General features: G+C 48.8%; 1 long non-coding RNA gene across 1 annotated transcript, besides 6 other annotated features; it reads right to left on the bottom strand.

The window, feature by feature from the left end:
* Positions 1 to 693: an enhancer, noted in NCBI's record as "H3K27ac-H3K4me1 hESC enhancer chr12:111375751-111376443 (GRCh37/hg19 assembly coordinates)". NCBI's record gives its function as "activates a minimal SCP1, AML or CMV promoter by ChIP-STARR-seq in primed H9 embryonic stem cells {active_cell/tissue: H9 hESC(primed)}" and the evidence as "EXISTENCE:reporter gene assay evidence [ECO:0000049][PMID:30033119]".
* Positions 1,181 to 1,475: a silencer, noted in NCBI's record as "tiled region #3484; K562 Repressive DNase unmatched - State 12:CtcfO". NCBI's record gives its function as "represses a minimal TATA promoter and a strong SV40 promoter by Sharpr-MPRA in K562 cells {active_cell/tissue: K562}" and the evidence as "EXISTENCE:reporter gene assay evidence [ECO:0000049][PMID:27701403]".
* Positions 1,181 to 2,081: a biological region, named in NCBI's record as "Sharpr-MPRA regulatory region 3484".
* Positions 1,192 to 2,038, bottom strand: VHRT (ventricular heart development associated lncRNA). The gene is made up of 2 exons (NR_036513.1): positions 1,942 to 2,038; positions 1,192 to 1,455 (listed from the first exon to the last, which is right to left on the bottom strand). It is a non-coding gene; the product is annotated as a ventricular heart development associated lncRNA (long non-coding RNA).
* Positions 1,388 to 2,081: an enhancer, noted in NCBI's record as "OCT4-NANOG-H3K27ac-H3K4me1 hESC enhancer chr12:111374363-111375056 (GRCh37/hg19 assembly coordinates)". NCBI's record gives its function as "activates a minimal SCP1, AML or CMV promoter by ChIP-STARR-seq in naive H9 embryonic stem cells {active_cell/tissue: H9 hESC(naive)}" and the evidence as "EXISTENCE:reporter gene assay evidence [ECO:0000049][PMID:30033119]".
* Positions 2,082 to 2,775: an enhancer, noted in NCBI's record as "H3K27ac hESC enhancer chr12:111373669-111374362 (GRCh37/hg19 assembly coordinates)". NCBI's record gives its function as "activates a minimal SCP1, AML or CMV promoter by ChIP-STARR-seq in naive H9 embryonic stem cells {active_cell/tissue: H9 hESC(naive)}" and the evidence as "EXISTENCE:reporter gene assay evidence [ECO:0000049][PMID:30033119]".
* Positions 6,762 to 9,919: an enhancer, noted in NCBI's record as "VISTA enhancer hs2493". NCBI's record gives its function as "enhancer in: heart[7/7]" and the evidence as "EXISTENCE:transgenic organism evidence [ECO:0001131][PMID:17130149]".

Raw genomic sequence — 17,185 nt, 5'->3', positions numbered from 1 at the left:
TTACCAGTTATTTCTGGGTAGAGGGACAGGAAGTGATTTTTTTAATGTCTAATTTTCCCACAGTAAATGGATATTATTTTGCACTTTTTAAAACTAAAAACTAAATAACATGCTAGCACAGTCTCACCTCGGGGCCTCTGCCCTGGCACTTTCCTCTGCCTGAAATGCTTTTCTCCAAATATTCTCCACTTTCTTCATGTCTTTGTTCAAACGTCATTTTCTCCAGGAGGCTTCCTGACCGCTCGATTTAAAATTGTGTCTTGGCTGTGCACGGTGGCTCACGCTTGTAATCCAGCACTTTGAAAGGCCAAGGCGGGAGGATGGCTTGAGGCTGGGAGTTCAAGACCAGCCTGGGCAACAAAATGAGACATTATTTTAAAAAAGTTTTTTTTAAATACCTGGGCATGGTGGCACACATCTGTGGTCCCAGCTACTCGAAGGCTAAGGTGAGAGGATCGCTTGAGCCCAGGAGTTCCAGGCGGCAGTGAGCTATGATGGTGCCACTGCACTCCAGCCTGGGTGACAGAGAGAGACTCTGTCTCAATAAAGTATATTAAAAAAAAAAAAAAATTAGCCGAGTACCGTGGCTCACGCCTCTAATCCCAGCACTTTGGGAGGCCAAGGCGGGCGGATCACAAGGTCAAGAGACGAGACCGTCCTGGTCAACATGGTGAAACCCCGTCTCTACTAAAAATACAAAAATTAGCTGGGCGTGGCGGCGCGCACCTATAGACCCAGCTACTCGGGAGGCTGAGGCAGGAGAATCACTTGAACCTGGGAGGCAGAGGTTGCAGTGAGCCGAGATCGCACCACTGCACTCCAGCCTGGTGACAGACTGAAACTCCGTCTCAAAAAAAAAAAAAAAAAAAAAAAAATCGTGTTTATCTCTCTCTTTCTTCCTTTTTGTCTCTGTCTCTCTTCCCTCTTACCTTGTTCTATTTTCCTATTTTACTCCATAGAAGGTATCAACTTCTAACCTCCTAGGTCGTTTGCTTATTTATTACGTTTGTCATCTAAGACCTCCTGCCCACCGGCCCCCAGCAGGAAGGACTGCTCCAGGAAGGCAGGAATTGGAATTTGTGTCTGTTTTGTTCCCTGTTGACTCCCAGGGCTTAGAACAAGGCTTGGCACACAGTAGGAGCTCAGTAAATATTTGAGTAGTGAATGAATGAAATCTAAACAAGCAAATGGTTTTCCTTTATGAAGACTTTATTTCATCCTCACTCTTCTGATTTTCAGAAGCAGCAGCACGGATGAGACGGGTCTGGCAGGCTTGGCGGGGGACAGGTGGGAGGAAAGATGTTCCTCGCCCTCTCCAGATTCCGCGCCCTTGGTTCGCCAGCGGGAAGCCGTGGCTGCGCGGAGCCGAGGTAGCACCGCCCCCTGCTGGGCAGTTTGGAGAAATGCAGCGCGGACGCTCAGCGATTGGGCCAGATACATTTCAAACAAGTACACCTGGGAATTTGGAAAGGAACAGGATGGAAAGGTCATCGGGGGTGAGGCAGCCAGATGGATCTGCGGGAGGCCTTTTCAGAAAGGAAGAGGAGCCGAGAAAAAAAATGCAGCCCATTCTCTCAGCTGCAGGACCCGGATTCAAGCAGAGTCCGCGTCTCGCAATGAATGGGTTTCTCCTGTTGAGGCCAAGGCTGACCGTGATGGAAGCCAGGTGCAATTCAAGGCCAACTCCCAGGGATCTCTTTTTGGAATTTCTGGTTTCCCTAGGTTTCCTCGCAGGTTTTGTGGTGAGCATGTATCCTTTTATCAAACCCACCCCACAAAACCAGAATTTCAAAACAAGTTTTTACCCAGCCTTTTTAACAAATGTGCACATGCAGTTTCAGAAAGAGGAAATGTATTAGTGTATTAGTCCATTCTCACACTGCTATAAAGAACTACCTGAGACTGGGTAATTTATGAAGAAAAGAGGTTTTATGGACTCACCGTTCTGCAGGCTTAACCAGCAGTATGACTGGGAGACCTCAGGAAACTTACACTCATGGCGGAAGGCAAAGGGGAAACAAGCACCTTCTTCACATGGTGGCAGGAGAGACAGAGAGAGAAGTGAGGAGAGCTCTATCACGAGAATAGCAAGGGGGAGGGGGAGCTCCGCCCCCATGATACAATCACCTCCCACCAGGCCCTTCCCCCGACAAGTGGGGAATACAATTGGAGATGAAATTTGGGTGGGGACACAGCCAAACCCTATCAATTAGCCAAGTCAAGATTGTTCATTGACTCGACATTTTTACTGTGAATTTACTGTGTGCCAGCCACGGTTCTTGGTGCTGGGGCTACAGCAGCAAAACAGACAGACAAAAACCTCAGCCTTTATGGAGCCGATATTACAGTAAAAGAGACAAGTCCCTAACGCACAAATAAATGAAAATACCTGACTAAAAACTAAGGTAAGTGCCCTGAAAGAGAAAAACAAGGTGTTACCAAAAAAATTTTAAAAAGAGCAGACTTCAATTTTGGGAATCCACACCGAAGACATGAGATTTAATCTGAATTCCTCTCCCAGGAGCCAGGGGCAATCTACGGGGAGAAAGGAATAGCAAGAGAGAAGCTGGAAGTTTCCAGGCTTTCAGTCTTAATTCAGTATCCCCCAGAGAAGAATAACTTGTCCCTTTTAGTAGATGTTTGCTCTGTAGTAAAAGGACAGCATAGGAGTCTAGAATCAGAGTCCTGGGTTCAATTCCTGGCTCTGCCCCCTTCCTTAGTTTCTATTTCCTCTGTCCCTTAGAGTTATTATAAGGATTTAATGAGATAATAGAGATGTAGCTATGGACACAGCAGCTGGCAAATAGTCAATAAGTAGTCATCATTGTTTAAAGGCTCTGAGAAGATCTGCAACTGGGGAACCTGTTGAACTAGACTCTCTTGTTGGCTACAGAAAATTTTTTTTTTTTTTTTAGACAGAGACTCACTCTGTCGCGCAGGCTGGAGTGCAATGGCATCATCTCAGTTCACTGCAACCTCCGCCTCTCAGGTTCAAGAGCTTCTTCTGCCTCAGCCTCCCAAGTAGCTGGGATGACAGGCATGCGCCACCACACCCAGCTAATTTTTGTATTTTTAGTAGAGACAGAGTTTCACCATGTTGGGCAGGCTGGTTTCGAACTCCTGACCTCAAATGATTCGCCCACTTCTGCCTCCCAAAGTGCTGGGATTACAGGCGTGAGCCACCACGCCCAGCCTATAGAACCATTTTGTTGCAGGATATTGTGTGCTGTACCATATATATTGGGGAAATATTACTTCAGTTACTGGGGGTGTGGGTGGAGCAGACATTATTCATTGCCTACCCCAAGTCCATTTGCTGTCTTTTTTCTTGCTAATAGAACTCTGGTTATGTTCAGGATTAGGCCAAAGAACCTTGGATGTCAAAGCAGGTAGGTCAGACTTGGTCTAGATGTGGGCGCCTTACCTTGTTCTGGCCAGTGAGATGTATGAAAAGTCTCCTAGGGGCTTCCCCATGAAGATATTGTCCTCCATAAGAAGTAAAGAAACATTTGCACCTGACCCCACCCCCACTGCCACCACCCCCGCCCCAGCTTCTGCTTTGAACGTAGTGTCGTGAGGACAGGACACTTGGCTCTGCTGCCACCATCTTGGGACCACAAGAGGGAACCCCCACAGAGTCACAGAGACAACTCTGGGGTCCCCAATCATGTCCAGCTACTGAACAACCGTGGAACTGTCTGTTCTCCAACTTCTTGAGAGAAAACGAACCCCCCGTTTGTTTAAGCTGCTGCTAATGGATTTCCATCACCTGCATCCCAGAACATTCCTCACTGATCCAGGGTCCCAGTTCTCTGTTCCGAATTAAAATCATCCTGGTTTTCTCCATTTGTCTAAATATTCTCTGGTTCACCTTGAGGACAGTGTCTGGGCATTGCACCAGGCAGCCCATACCCCTCCCTGGGGCCTGTTCCCTTTGTAAAACCATGACTCACCTCCGAGGCCCTTGCTGGCCACACACCTTCATTCCAGAGAGGATTCCATGAGCCATCCCTCTTTGTCTTTCTTCTCTCTCATCTATTTTTGTCCTTTGTGAAATGCCCTGGCCCCCTGTGAGGATACAGAGGTATTAGCACACCCTCCCCCTTAATCCCTTGGGCTCCTGTTCCCTTGTCCAAAGTCACCCAAGAGAACAGGGCCAGCCTAACTTTTTCTGGCTGGCTTTTCCTGGGGGAAATGAAACTGTTTCACTGTATGTCCCAACCCCAAAAGTCTCTCCTATTCTCTTCACCATGCATGGCCCTAGAACTTTCTTTCTGTCTCAGAGGACACCTACGAAGGAGGAATAGCAAATACATAGCATGTGGCAATGGCATACATGTCACCCTTCCTTCACTCAGTCCATGGCAGACATTGCTAATCAATCACAGCACTCTTTCTTACTGAGTGGAGTTGGCAGGGAAGATGAGCTGAAGCCCTGACCTCTGTGACATGGTTGGAGACAGGGGATAAAGAGTAAAGTTCACACTCACCTCAAAAAAATTCTCCTGAGGCCTGACACCCCCATTCTCTCTTAGCCAGAGGGGACCTAGCTGGCCCAGAGAGGCTTGGGCAAGCAAGGTGGGTGTGCAAGGATCAATGCCTTCAGCCCTGGAGACACAGCACAGAGAGTTGTTCAGGCCCTTCTGGCATGTGTCCTGGACTTACTCCAGGATCGTCTTTGGTCTCAGTTGAATTCAGTCCCACGGAACAAATCTATCATGATCACCTACTATGTGCCAGGACCGAGGGCACCGCAGAGATGCATGAATCCTGGCCCCTGGCCCAGAAGATTCTAGTGGAAGAAACAGACTAACAAACAATGAAGCAGAATGCAGAAAGTGCCACAAGAGAGCAGTCATTCGACAAGGGCTGACGCAGTGCCCGCTATGTGCCAGTGCCGTACTGGGTGCGGGAGAAGCAGCGGTGGGCAAGATAGACATGGTGCCTGTCCCGTAGAGTTATGGTCTGAGCAGAAAGTTGGGTGTTCATCAGCTAATCAGACAAAAAAAAGTAGAATGCAGCTGTGGTTCAACACTGGGAGGGAGAAAGGAACGCAGTGCTGGGAGGGCCTAGTCTGGAAGTTCGGGGAGAACAGTTTTGCCCCAACTCCCAGGGGCCACATGGCAATGTCTGGAGACATCTTTGGTTGTCATGACTGGGTGGCATCTGGTGGGTAGAGGCCAGGGATGCTGTTCAACATCTTCCAAGACACAGGACAGCCCCACAGCAAAGAATGACCTGGCCCCGATGTCAGCAGTGCCAAAGGTGAGAGATCTCCATCCAGACAAAGAGGGGATGGCGGGGCAGGGCGGGGGGTCCAGGCAGATGGAAAGGTCTGCATCCTAGGAGAATGGGCAGCCATTTAAACATGCGGGTGTTTGGGTGTGGTGGTTCACGCCTGTAATCCCAGCACTTTGGGAGGCCAAGGCAGGTGGATCACCTGAGGTCAGGAGTTCGAGACCAGCCTGGCCAACATGGTGAAATCCCGTCTCTAATAAAAATACAAAAATTAGCCGGGCGAGGTGGTGGGCACCTATAATCCCAGCTACTCAGGAGGCTGAGGCAGCAGAATCGCTTGAACCTGGGAGGCAGGAGTTGCAGTGAGCCAAGTTGGTTCCACTACACTCCAGCCTGGGCTACAGAGCAAGACTCCATCCAAAAAAAAAAAAAATTTGGGTGGTGATGACCGAGCTGGGTGTTGTTGTTGTTTTTCTTTAATGTCCCTCGGGCTGCCGGGTGGCAAAGGCGGAAGCAGAGACCAGGAGAGCGGGTGTGCGGGTGTGGCCTTGGGTGGCTGTGTGCTCACCACAGGCCTGGAGACTAGACATGAACTCTAGGGAGGAGTTCTGAATTATGATGACCGCTTGGGGCTGCACATTCTACACACTGAATTAAGACTGTATTTGGGGCAGGGTGTGGTGGCTCACGCCTGTAATCCCAGCACTTTGGGAGGCTGAGGCGGGTGGATCACTTGAGCCCAGAAGAGCTCAGGAGACCATCCTGGGCAACATAGCAAGACCCCATCTCAAAAAAAAAAAATACAAAAATTAGCTGAGTGTTGTGGTGCACACCTGTAGTCCCAGCTACTTGGAAGGCTTAGGTGGAAGATTGCTTGAGCCCAGGAGGCAGAGGTTACAGTGAGCTGAGGCTCCAGCCTGGATGACAGAGCAAGACCTTGTCTCAAAAAAGAAAAAAAAAAGACTATTTGGGACTCAGTGATCTTAGGGTTGTCCTTTTCCCCAACAGTGAGAGGAAAAATCCTGACTTTTCATCTGAGAACACGCACAGATTAGCCCCCCGGGAACAGAATTTATGAAGAACGAAGGGTTTTGCTCAAAATTATCTCGAGCCAGCCTCACAGCGCCGCCATGAGGTCAGTGTTCTGAACCAACACATTTTGCAGATAAAAAAATGGAAATGGAGATGGAACCGGAAAAAGCCACTGGACCTGTTTCATCCGGTCAGCAAGCAGCAGAGGTGACATTCTAGCCCAGACCCAACTCCAATGTCCCTTCTTCCCCAAAGTCCCCAGCCAGGAGACCTCAGGAGGTCGGTGGACTCGGGCAGCCCTAAACCATCCTCAAACTCTACGAGCAGAAAACCTGTCTCTCCCTTCCTAGGAATTGCTCTGTATGTCGATGGTGCTGAAATTGGGATAATGTATGCCCCTCAGGGCAGTGAGCAATGTTGAGGACATTTTTGGATATCACAATTTGGGAGGGGGGTTTGCTAATGGCTGCTAGTGGGTGGAGACCAAGGATGCGGCTGATCATACCGTAATGCACGGGACACCCTCCACTGCCGTAACAAAGAATTATCCAGCCCCTCACATCCATAGAGCCCAGGATGAGAGTGCTGCTCCAGAATGGAAGCCCCGCAGACGCCTGCATCTGTGCTGGGGAGGAGCAAGGGCCTGGGCCTGCAGAGCTGGGTGTCCCCTGAAGACTCGTTGAAAGGTCCTTCACCCGACAACCTCAGGTCGGATGACTAATGAGCCAGGAGTGTGGCCTTTATATAGCTCTGGGCCCAGGCATGCGGGACCAGGTTCGGCTGTCACTGTGCCACGTTCTTCAGCAAGGGGGCTCTGGCAGGCGGGCAGGGGGAGCGCAGGGGGAAGCTGGCGGGGGAGCCTGGGGCAGCAGCTGTTGCTGGAATCTGGGACTCGTAGAGAGGAACAATACCCCCGGAATGCCAGGCACCGAGACAGCTGAGCCCGCGGGCATCTGAAGGGCACCAGTAAAAATGGGCTTGTCTGAGTGCCGCTGTCCCCAGTGCAGGCAAGATAGATGACCGAGGGCTAAAAATACCAGGGACAAGAAAGCCACTGCAGGGCTATCTGGGTCGTTGAGGCTGGATCCGAGCTCTGGGATCCTGGAGGGTAGTGAGAGGTGGGGCCGGATCCCCCGGCTTTGAAACCAGAATACCATGGGGAGGAAAAGTGTGTACAGAGGAGTCCGACAATCTGAGTTCGAAGCCCAGCGCTACCAGATGCTAGCAGTAGGGCCTTGGGGAGTGACTACTCCTCCCTGAGCGTCAGTTTCCTCATCTGGAAAATGGGTCTAATATTAGTACCTTCCTCATAGTGTTGTGAGGATTATATCCGACGGTGAGTAAAGCATATGGCTCAGTGCGTGACATGCAAGGAGCTCTAGGGAAGGGGGATGATGGCGATTTGATTTCTTTTGGGACTTCAGTTTGGCAAGCTATGCAGTGGCTGGGTGGTGGCCATGGCGGGCAGGCCTGCCTCCCCCAGTCCACTGGAGCACTCAATACATGATAGCTTCTACTCCGCCAGCTCAGAGCAGCTGTCCCTAAGAGCACTGAATAACGGGCTGGAGGGTGAGGTGGGGGCCGGAGTAGGAAATGAGGCTGGGAAGACAACCAGTAATAACCACACACACTCATACACACACCCACTCACACACTCACACTCTCACATACACACTCTCTCACACATTCACTCACACACACACTCTCACAATCACACACACGCTTATACACACTCACACACACTCACACATTTTAACACACTCACATATACACACTCACACACTCACATACACAGACACGTGGCACACATACACACACGTCACACACATACACTTACACACACATACACTCACACACTCACACAGTCACATACACACCTGTCACACACACTCACAAACACACAGTCACAGTCACACACACTCATACACACACTCACGCAGTCACACACACTCATACACTCACACACATACACTCTCTCACGCAGTCACACACACTCATACACTCACACACATACACTCTCTCACGCACAGTGCCTGTACTCTCCATGCCTGGCGCTGTGCAAAGCCATTTACACTCATTGCATGAGTAACCATGTGGATGGTGCTTGGAACAGAATAAACACACAATAAATGTTAGCTGCTATCGTTAGTATCACAATTATCTAGTTTCACTTGAACGACACTCTTCCAAAGCTAGCATGATAGTTTTCTCCATTTATCAAGTGAAGACTCTGAGGTTTAGGGTGGTTAAGTCACCTGTCCAGGGGCCCCACAGTCAAGGAAGTGGAGGAGCTGACCTGGAACCCAGCTTACAATCATAACACCATTCTGGTAGGACAGGGTCAAGTGATAAAAGATCTTAGCTGTCAGGCTAAGGAGGGGAGATTTCCTCCTGAGGTAGTGGGGAACCACTGAGGGTTCTAGAGCATGTACAAGTCATCATCAGAATGGGGTATGGGGGAAAGGAGTTGGACTCAGAGTGTGTGAAGGGCAAGATATAAAGACAAGAGAGAGGAGGCCCAAAACCAGTTGGGGCCTACTACCTTAGGCCACAGCTGGGGCTGGACTTGAGGAAATGGATTTGCAAGACATTTTAGAGGAAGAATAGATAGATTTTGTCACTAGTAGGGCAGAATCAAAATGGCTGAGGATTTTGGTCTGGGAACCTAAGAGAGAGGTGAAGTCATTAACAGGAAAAGGATTTGGGAGAGGAAGAGGAGAGAAAATGAATTCATATTGGAACATGTTATTTCTTTTCTTTTCATTGGAACATGTTATTTCTTTTCTTTTCTTTTCTTTTTTGAGACGGACTCTCGCTCTGTCGCCAGGCTGGAGTGCGGTGGTGCAATCTCAGCTCACTGCAACCTCCGCCTCCCAAGTTCAAGTGATTCTCCTGCCTCAGCCTCCCGAGTAGCTGGGACTACAGGTGCGCACCACCATGCCCAGCTAATTTTTGTATTTTTAGCAGAGATGGGATTTCACCATGTTGGCTAGGATGGTCTCGATCTCTTGACCTCATGATCTGCCCGCCTTGGCCTCCCAAAGTGCTGGGATTACAGGCGTGAGCCACCACGCCCAGCTGGAACACGTTATTTCTTTTACCTCCATTTCCACTGACATGGGTGCCTAGCCAGTTCTCTGGAATAAGAGCTGGCATTCACTGAACATCACCATGCCCAGCAGTATTCTAGAACTTTAGAAGCAGTAATTAACTCATTTAAACCTCATGATAACTTTTTGAAGGACCTCTATTACATGTTCCCATTTCACATATGAGGAAACTGAGGCACGGGGAGCTGATGCTGCTTGTCCCAGTGGTGCTGTGTACACAGGGGGTGCCCCGTTATGTGGCTCACCCATCTTTGCTGGGCACAGGCCTGGTCCACCTGAATCTGACTCCCAAGAGAAGCCACCCTCCCCACTTGGTGGCTCTCACTGACGCCTGGGGGCCCTGACACGAGGAGATAGGCTATCACTTGGTGACAAAAGCCATCAGCCACCCGGCTTTGGGCTGGCAGGGCCTGGTATGCCTTTGTTCTATCAAGAGGTGGCTGACTTCACCGCCCTCTTTAAAGGGGCCTTACACCCCAAGGCAAGTTAACCCGCTGTGCTACTTGCTTCCATTGGAGATCATGGTGGGCACTTATGTGACACTTTCCTGTGCCAGGCTCTGTCCTAAATATTAATACATTACTAGATTAACTCTGTAAGCTACTGATATTAGCATGCATACTTATGTGATCCGCTGAAGAGTTTTATAAGACAAACATGTAGAGAAGCCTTTCCCTTTCTCCCTTACAATATGGGATGTAATGGCTTAAGACTTGAATTCCAGGAGCTAAAGTGCAAAAAGCCCCTGCAGAAGAAACGAATTAAAATATGCCTCCAGCAGGGCTGGATTGAAATCTTTAAAAGCCCCAAAGACTGAAAAGATGCTGGCTGTCACCACCTGACAGCAAACGAAAGATAAAAACAGTACTTAATAGTCCAGCTAGCGTGAGAACATCCTGGCATGTTCGGAGTTTTTCCCCATGGTGGCTATTTTGACTTAAAAACAAACAAACATTAATTGGCCGGGCACGGTGGCTGACGCCTGTAATCCCAACACTTTGGGAGGCTGAGGCAGGTGGATCACCTGATGTCAGGAGTTCAAGACCAGCCTGGCCAACATGGTGAAACCCCATCTCTACTGAAAGTACACAAATTAGCCAGGCGTGGTGGCACACGTCTGTAATCAGAGCTACTCAGGAGGCTGAGGCACGAGAATCACTTGAACCTGGGAGGCGGAGGTTGCAGTGAGCCGAGATCACACCACTGCACTCCAGCCTGGGCGACAGAGCAAGACTCTGTATCAAAAAAAAATAAAAAGTATATATATATCTCCTTTCCCCCAAAAAAAGTTTGTTGGGTTTTTGTTGTCATTGGCACCTCTGGTGCTTTGGGCGTGTATTAAATGTGCCAGCTGCACGGCCTGGCTCAGCTTGAGGGAAGACCACGCCAGCCTCCATCAGTGAGGTAGGGACTGCAAAGGAGGTCTCCAAGGCCACCATAGAGTGGGAAAATTCAGGTGGCTGGGGCGGGTATGTGCATGTGTATGAGTTATGATACCATTAACGTGAAAATGTGTATCTCTGTTTGCATGGTATGACATCATTATTGTGAAAAAAAGTAATATTTGTGTGTGTGTGTGTCTGTGTGTGTCTCTGTGTGTGTGTGTCAGACAGAAAGAGAGAGACAGAGAGTTGGGAAGGCTAAATGCAATGTGATATCCTGGATTAGATCTTGGAACAGCAAAACGACCATAGTGGAAAGGCTGGTGAAATCCAAATCAAGCCAGGAAGTTTGGTCAATAGTAATGCATCAATATCAGTTTCTTTGTTGTAACCGATGTATTAGGGTCATGTAACCTGTGTTAACATCAGGGAAACTGGGCCAGGGGAAAGGAGAACTCTGCCACTTTTAAAATAAATTCTTAAATACAATTTTTATTTTTAAAATGTCTGGAAGGAATCTGCTGAAGTTCTGGAATGGCAAAACTAATCTACGGGGCTAGAGGCCAAGAGGTGCTGACTTTCAGGAGGGTTGGCTGGGAAGGGACACTAGGAAAAGCTCTGGGGCTGAAATGTTCTGCGTCCTGCCTCGGGTGGTGGTTACACAGTGTGCACCTGTGTAGAAACTCATCTCACTGGACACTTAGGACACATGCACTTTGCCATCTCAATTTTAAAAGCAAAGAATAAAAAGTAGCATCTGAAAGGCTTCACACGAAACTGCAAACCCTGTTCCTTTTGGAGAGGATTTGGTTGTCATGATAGAAAGGGGACATTTTAGTCGATATCTTCCATAACACATTCAACTGTTTTATAGTAAAAATGTGCTTGCTCACATTATATTAATTTAATTTTTTATGGGTGTGTAGCATGCACAGAGACAAGTGCACAGATCATAAATGTGCAGCCCGTGACACACCCGGATCAGGATCCACAACATTCCCAGTTCTTCCAAGAGGTAATTCCAACTTATCTTAAATTCTGCTGTCACTGGATGTTCTGCAATTTTTTTTTTTTTTGGCTAAACTTGGCAATCCCACTCCTAATGTTCCCTCCTTGTCACTACCCTCCTCTATCCTGACTTCTCACAGTTCAGATTCATTTTTTGCCTGTTTATTCATTTATCTTTTTTTTTTTTTTTGAGACAGGATCTATCTAGCTCCATCACCCAGGCTGGAATGCAATGGAGTGAACACAGCTGACTGCATGACTGCAGCCTCAACCTCCCTGGCTCAAGTGATTCTCCCACTTCAGCCTCTCAAGTAGCTGGGAATACAGGTGTGCACCACCACACCCAGATAATCTTTGTATTTTTTGTAGAGACAGGGTTTCACCATGTTGCCCAGCCTGGTCTCCAACTCCTGGGCTCAAGTGATCCACCTGCCTCAGCCTCCCACAGTGTTGGAATTACAGGTGTGAGCCACTGTGATCAAATGTGTCTTAATGCACACTCTGATTTAATCCGCACAACAGCCCTAGGAGATGAATACTGTTATTATCCCATTTTACAGAGGAGGAAACTGAGACTCAGAGAGGAGAAGAAGCCTATCTAAAGTCACATTGCTGACCTGGATGCAAACCCTAGCTAGTCCGATTACAAAGCCCTGAGCTACCACGTCAGGCCAATCAAAACAAAATGTTCCCCCAGTCCTCAATCTGGCAGATGATCAATACCTTGTCAGGCTTGGGGTCTGTGAGTCGGAGCCCTCTGTTCTCTGTTTCCTTGCTGGCAGTGTTGCCAAGAAGTACGACACCAGCCTGACTTTTCCACTAGAGTTATGTTCTTTCTGCCCAGAAGTAGGCCAGATATTCTCTTAATCCTTGGAGTTTGTTAATGTTGCTGGGATGCACCTTGGTGTGTGCTTTTCCTTATCCTTCCAGCTTGGAGTTCGGGAGTTCTTTCAACCTGCAGATTCTGTTCTCTTCTGTGCTGAAGAACATTTTCCTGTATTACTTGCTTACTTTTGGCTTCTGTTTCTGGAATGATTTTATTTGCATTTCTTTGTTATTTTGCTTCATGATATTCCCAAGATATCATCTTCTAGGCCACTATTTAAATTGCAACAAAACTAACCTTTCCTGAAATTCATTCACTTAATTTTTAGTTTAAAAATCAGGTCTTAAAGCTCTAGGAAGTCATTTTTGGGTTTCACTTGAATTTCTCTAAGGTTTTTTTTTGGTTTGTTTTTATTTTTATTCTTTGGAGCAAACCAGTACTTGGGCTTTAAAAAATAATGAAATTAATACAGTGCTCTATTTTCTAAAATGAGGACTGTTGTACCATAATACAGTTGAACATAAATTTCCACTTTTCTTGAATTTAAGCTTAATATGTATATCTCTCCCCTTACTCTGCATGAAGCTTTACTGATGTACATCACACCCTGTACATAGTGGGGCTCAAATAAATATCTATATGCAAATTCATGTCCTTCGATTTGGGGCTAAAATCATTCTTACTTAAAAGCAGTGTGTACCTATAAAGAATACTTACATATTTTCCCTCTCTTCATCTCTTCTTTTAAAATTGTCAACGGGGCCAGTCACAGTGGCTTACGCCTATAATCTCAGCACTTTGGGAGGCTGAGGCAGACGGATCACTTGAGCTCACCAGCTCAAGACTAGCCTGGCCAACATAGTGAAACCCCATCTCTTCCAGAAAAATACAAAAATTAGCCAGGCATGGTGGCGGGTGCCTATAATCCCAGGTACTCGGGAGGCTGAGGCAGGAGAATCGCTTGAACCCAGAAGGCAGAGGTTGCAGTGAGCCGAGATTGTGCCACTGCACTCCAGCCTAGGTGACAGAGTGAGACCCTGTCCCCCACGCCCCCCCCCCCAAAAAAAAAGGATGGAAGCGGAGGAGTCAGAGAGGTTGGATTCAGAGGTTGGAGTGATGTGGACCACGAACCAAGGAATGTGGGGACCTCGTGGTCCACAAGGAGTGTCGGTGCCTCATTCCCTGCTTCGTGGTCCTCATCACTCCAACCTCTGAATCCTCCGAGGTAGAAAAGGCAAAAATCGGGTTCTCCCCAGGAGGCTTCAGAAGGAACACAGTCCTATTTGTGACTACAAGATAATAAATACGTTGCCAGGTGTGGTGGCTTGAGCCTGTAATCCCAGCATCTTGGCAGGCTGAGGCAGGAGGATGGCTTGAGCTCAGGAGTTCAAGACCAGCCTGGGCAACATAATGTGACCCCGTCTCTACTAAAAAAATTGTTTTAATTAGCCGAGCGTGATGGTGCGTGACTATAGTCCCAGCTACTTGGGAGGCCAAAAGAGGAGGATCACTTGAGCCTAGGAGTTCGAAGCTGCAGTGAGCTATGATTGTGTCATTGCACTCCAGTCTGGGCAACAGGGTGAGACCCTGTCTCAAAAGAAAAAGAAGTGCTGTTTTAAGCCACCACATCGGTAATATTTTTATAGCAGCAATAAGAAACAAATACACTTGGGTTTCTGATATTCTAGAAGTTGCTATTCTGATGGATCGGCCCACTGTGCTTCTCTCTGGCTTCTGACAGCCTCAAGTGAGCAGTTATTTTTCTCTTCTATTCAGTGGGACTCAGGTCTAGCTGCTGGAAACTTATTAGCTGTAGGAATCCCACAGGTAGCAAAAAGGCAGGGGTCTCAGGTCCTGTGGGCATGTGCTTCTCAGCAAGAGGCCTCCGCCACCCAGCCTTGAGGGCAGGGCACAACAGCCCCAGCCGCCCACTCGCTCCCTCCCCAGCCCCCGCAGTCTTGAGGCTGATGCTGAAAGGAACCCCTGAAGTCTACAAAGAACCAAGTCCTCCCTGGATTCTCCAATCCCAGGGCCTTGTCCCTGGTCTTGGGGGCTCCCTGGGGCAACACAACCCATTGATGAGAGAGACTTTGGATCTCTGGCTCTCTCAACAGACCCCAAGGCCTAGTCCACACCCCACGTGCTCCACGTCCCAGCAGCCACGTGGTTCCATGCCCCATTCAGGCCGCCATTTCCCAGAATCCCTAGACACAATCTCACTTAATCCTCCCAGCAGCCTTATGGAGGTGTGTGATCTCCCTTTTCCAGGTGAGGAAACAGGCCCGAGAGGGTGAGTGCCCTATTTGACAACCCCTCTTGCTATCCAGCCAGAATGGTTCCTCTAGTACCCCTTCTGGAGGCCTGGCTGTACAGGTGTCCCTCAGGGACACACACCCCCACTCGACTCTGGGGGCCCAGCCCATCCTAATCCCCACCCCGGGGCTTCCCACCCCCCATCATACACTCTCCACATCTTCTGTGGCTGCAACAACCTTTTCACTTGGCCAGTTGGAGCTACTGACTGCTCACACAGGGTTTTAACGAAAATCTATGGTGTGCCTATTAGCTAGGGAAACATTTATTCTGGTGTTGTCAGAGAACCTTGGACAGAAAAGCTCCTCTTGATGTGTGCACTGCACATATGTGGATGCGTGTACATGCACGTGTCTGTGTGCCTCTATGCATGTGCAGACGTGTTTTTGTCTGTGCATGCATGTGCCTACACACACACATGAACACATCTTTTGTTATTAAAGATCTGTCAGAAGAGTGTCCTGGGTAACTCTAACCCATGTGGGACTGCAGAGAAGAAAAAAACCCACACCTTTTTTTGTCACAGCCATCAATGGTCCTTGGGTTTGTGTGCCCCCAAATTGAGATTATTTTTCCACCTGAGAAGGGGAGTGAGTGATAGCTACCATTTGCCAGGTCTCACCTCCTTTTACCCTCTGGAAAACCTAATAAGAAAAGTGATTTCTTTTTTTAAGCTCTGGAAAACTCCAGCCCCAGGGGGCCTTCTGTTCCTCAAAGCCTCCAAATTCTCCCTGCCTTGAGGTATGTGCTGTCCCCACTGCCTGGAGCCCCCTTTGCAGACTCTGCTTGGAGGAGCCCACCTGCGCCCCTGTCTGAGGCTGTCACCTGGCCACTGCCATGCCTCTGTCTCATCCCTGCATGAGATCCGTCACTGCCTGCAACTGTCTGGGTTGTGCATTTGTTTACTTTCTCCTTGTCCATCTTCCCCTCGCACTTACGCACCTCAAGGGAAGGGAATTTGTTGCTTTGCGCTGGGCTCGATGAAGGGGAATGAATGCTGGTTCAGCCATCAGCCCCGCACCCACACTACTGGGAGGGCAGAGGGACATTCTCCTTCTTAGAGGTGTGGCCTCTGGCACTCAGGCCTGCCACCCACGGACACTAAATAACCACAATGATTCCAAGCCCCGAGTTCTTGCTCCCTGAATCCCAAGGCTGTCTTTAAGGGCACAGGAAGATGGCCATCTTTTGTTGTTTTGGTTTAGTTTGGGGTTTTTTTGGTCTTTGTTTTTGAGATGGAGTCTTGCTCTGTCGCCCAGGCTGGAGTGCAATGGCACGATCTCGGCTCACTGCAACCTCCGCCTCCTGGGTTCAAGCAATCCTCCTGCCTTAGCCTCCCAAGTAGCTGGGAGTACAGGCATGTGCCACAACGCCCAGCTAATTTTTGTATTTTTAGTAGAGATGGGGTTCTGTCATGTTGGCCAGACTGGTCTTGAACTCCTGACCTCAGGTGATCTACCCGCCTCGGCCTCCCAAAGTGCTAGGTGTGAGCCAACATGCCCGTCCTTTTTTTTTTTTTTTTTTTTTTTGAGTCAGAGTCTCACTCTGTCGCCCAGGCTGGAGTGCAATGGCGCTATCTCGGCTCACTGCAACCTCTGCCTCTCGGCCTCAAGCGATTCTCCTGCCTCAGTCTCCTGAGTAGCTGGGACTACAGGCCCGCGCCACAACGCCTGGCTAATTTTTGTATTTTTAGTAGCGACAAGTTTCATCATGTTGGCCAAGGTCGTCTTGAACTCCTGACTCAAGTGATCCACCCGCCTCAGCCTCTCAAAGTGCTGGCATTTCAGGTATAAGCCACTGCACCCAGCAGGAAAGCTGTCTTCAGTAAAAGTATTATATAATGACACCTTGCATTCTGAGAGCAGCTGCTGTTTTCAAGGCTCTTAAAGAGCCTGGACTCTGGAGACAAAGGGGCCTCCAGAGGGGTCCACGCCTAGCTCCATCACTGTGTGACCCTGGGCAGCTCACTTCGCCTCTCTGAGCTTTTGTTTCCGCATCTGTAAAATGGGGGCATGGATGATGAGGTGGTCCCCACCCTCTAGGGTGGCTGGAAAATTATGTGTGGGAGCCATGAGCACATAGTGTCCGGCACGTGCCAGTGCTCAGTCAATGAGATTTGTCATTTCTTCAGTCAACAAATATTTATTTTTGAGCTGCTGCTGTGTGCATCATGAGCTGGGAGCTGGGGAGACAGTCAGTGGTGAGGGAAACTAAAGTGATCCCTGCCCTCTGAGCTGACGCTCCACAGATGCTGAAGAAAATGAGTCAGTGCACTG

The sequence above is a fragment of the Homo sapiens genome, chromosome 12 (assembly GCF_000001405.40).
Source record: "Homo sapiens chromosome 12, GRCh38.p14 Primary Assembly".
Taxonomy (NCBI): Eukaryota; Metazoa; Chordata; class Mammalia; order Primates; family Hominidae; genus Homo; species Homo sapiens.
This window is presented reverse-complemented; position numbering and strand designations above follow the sequence as displayed.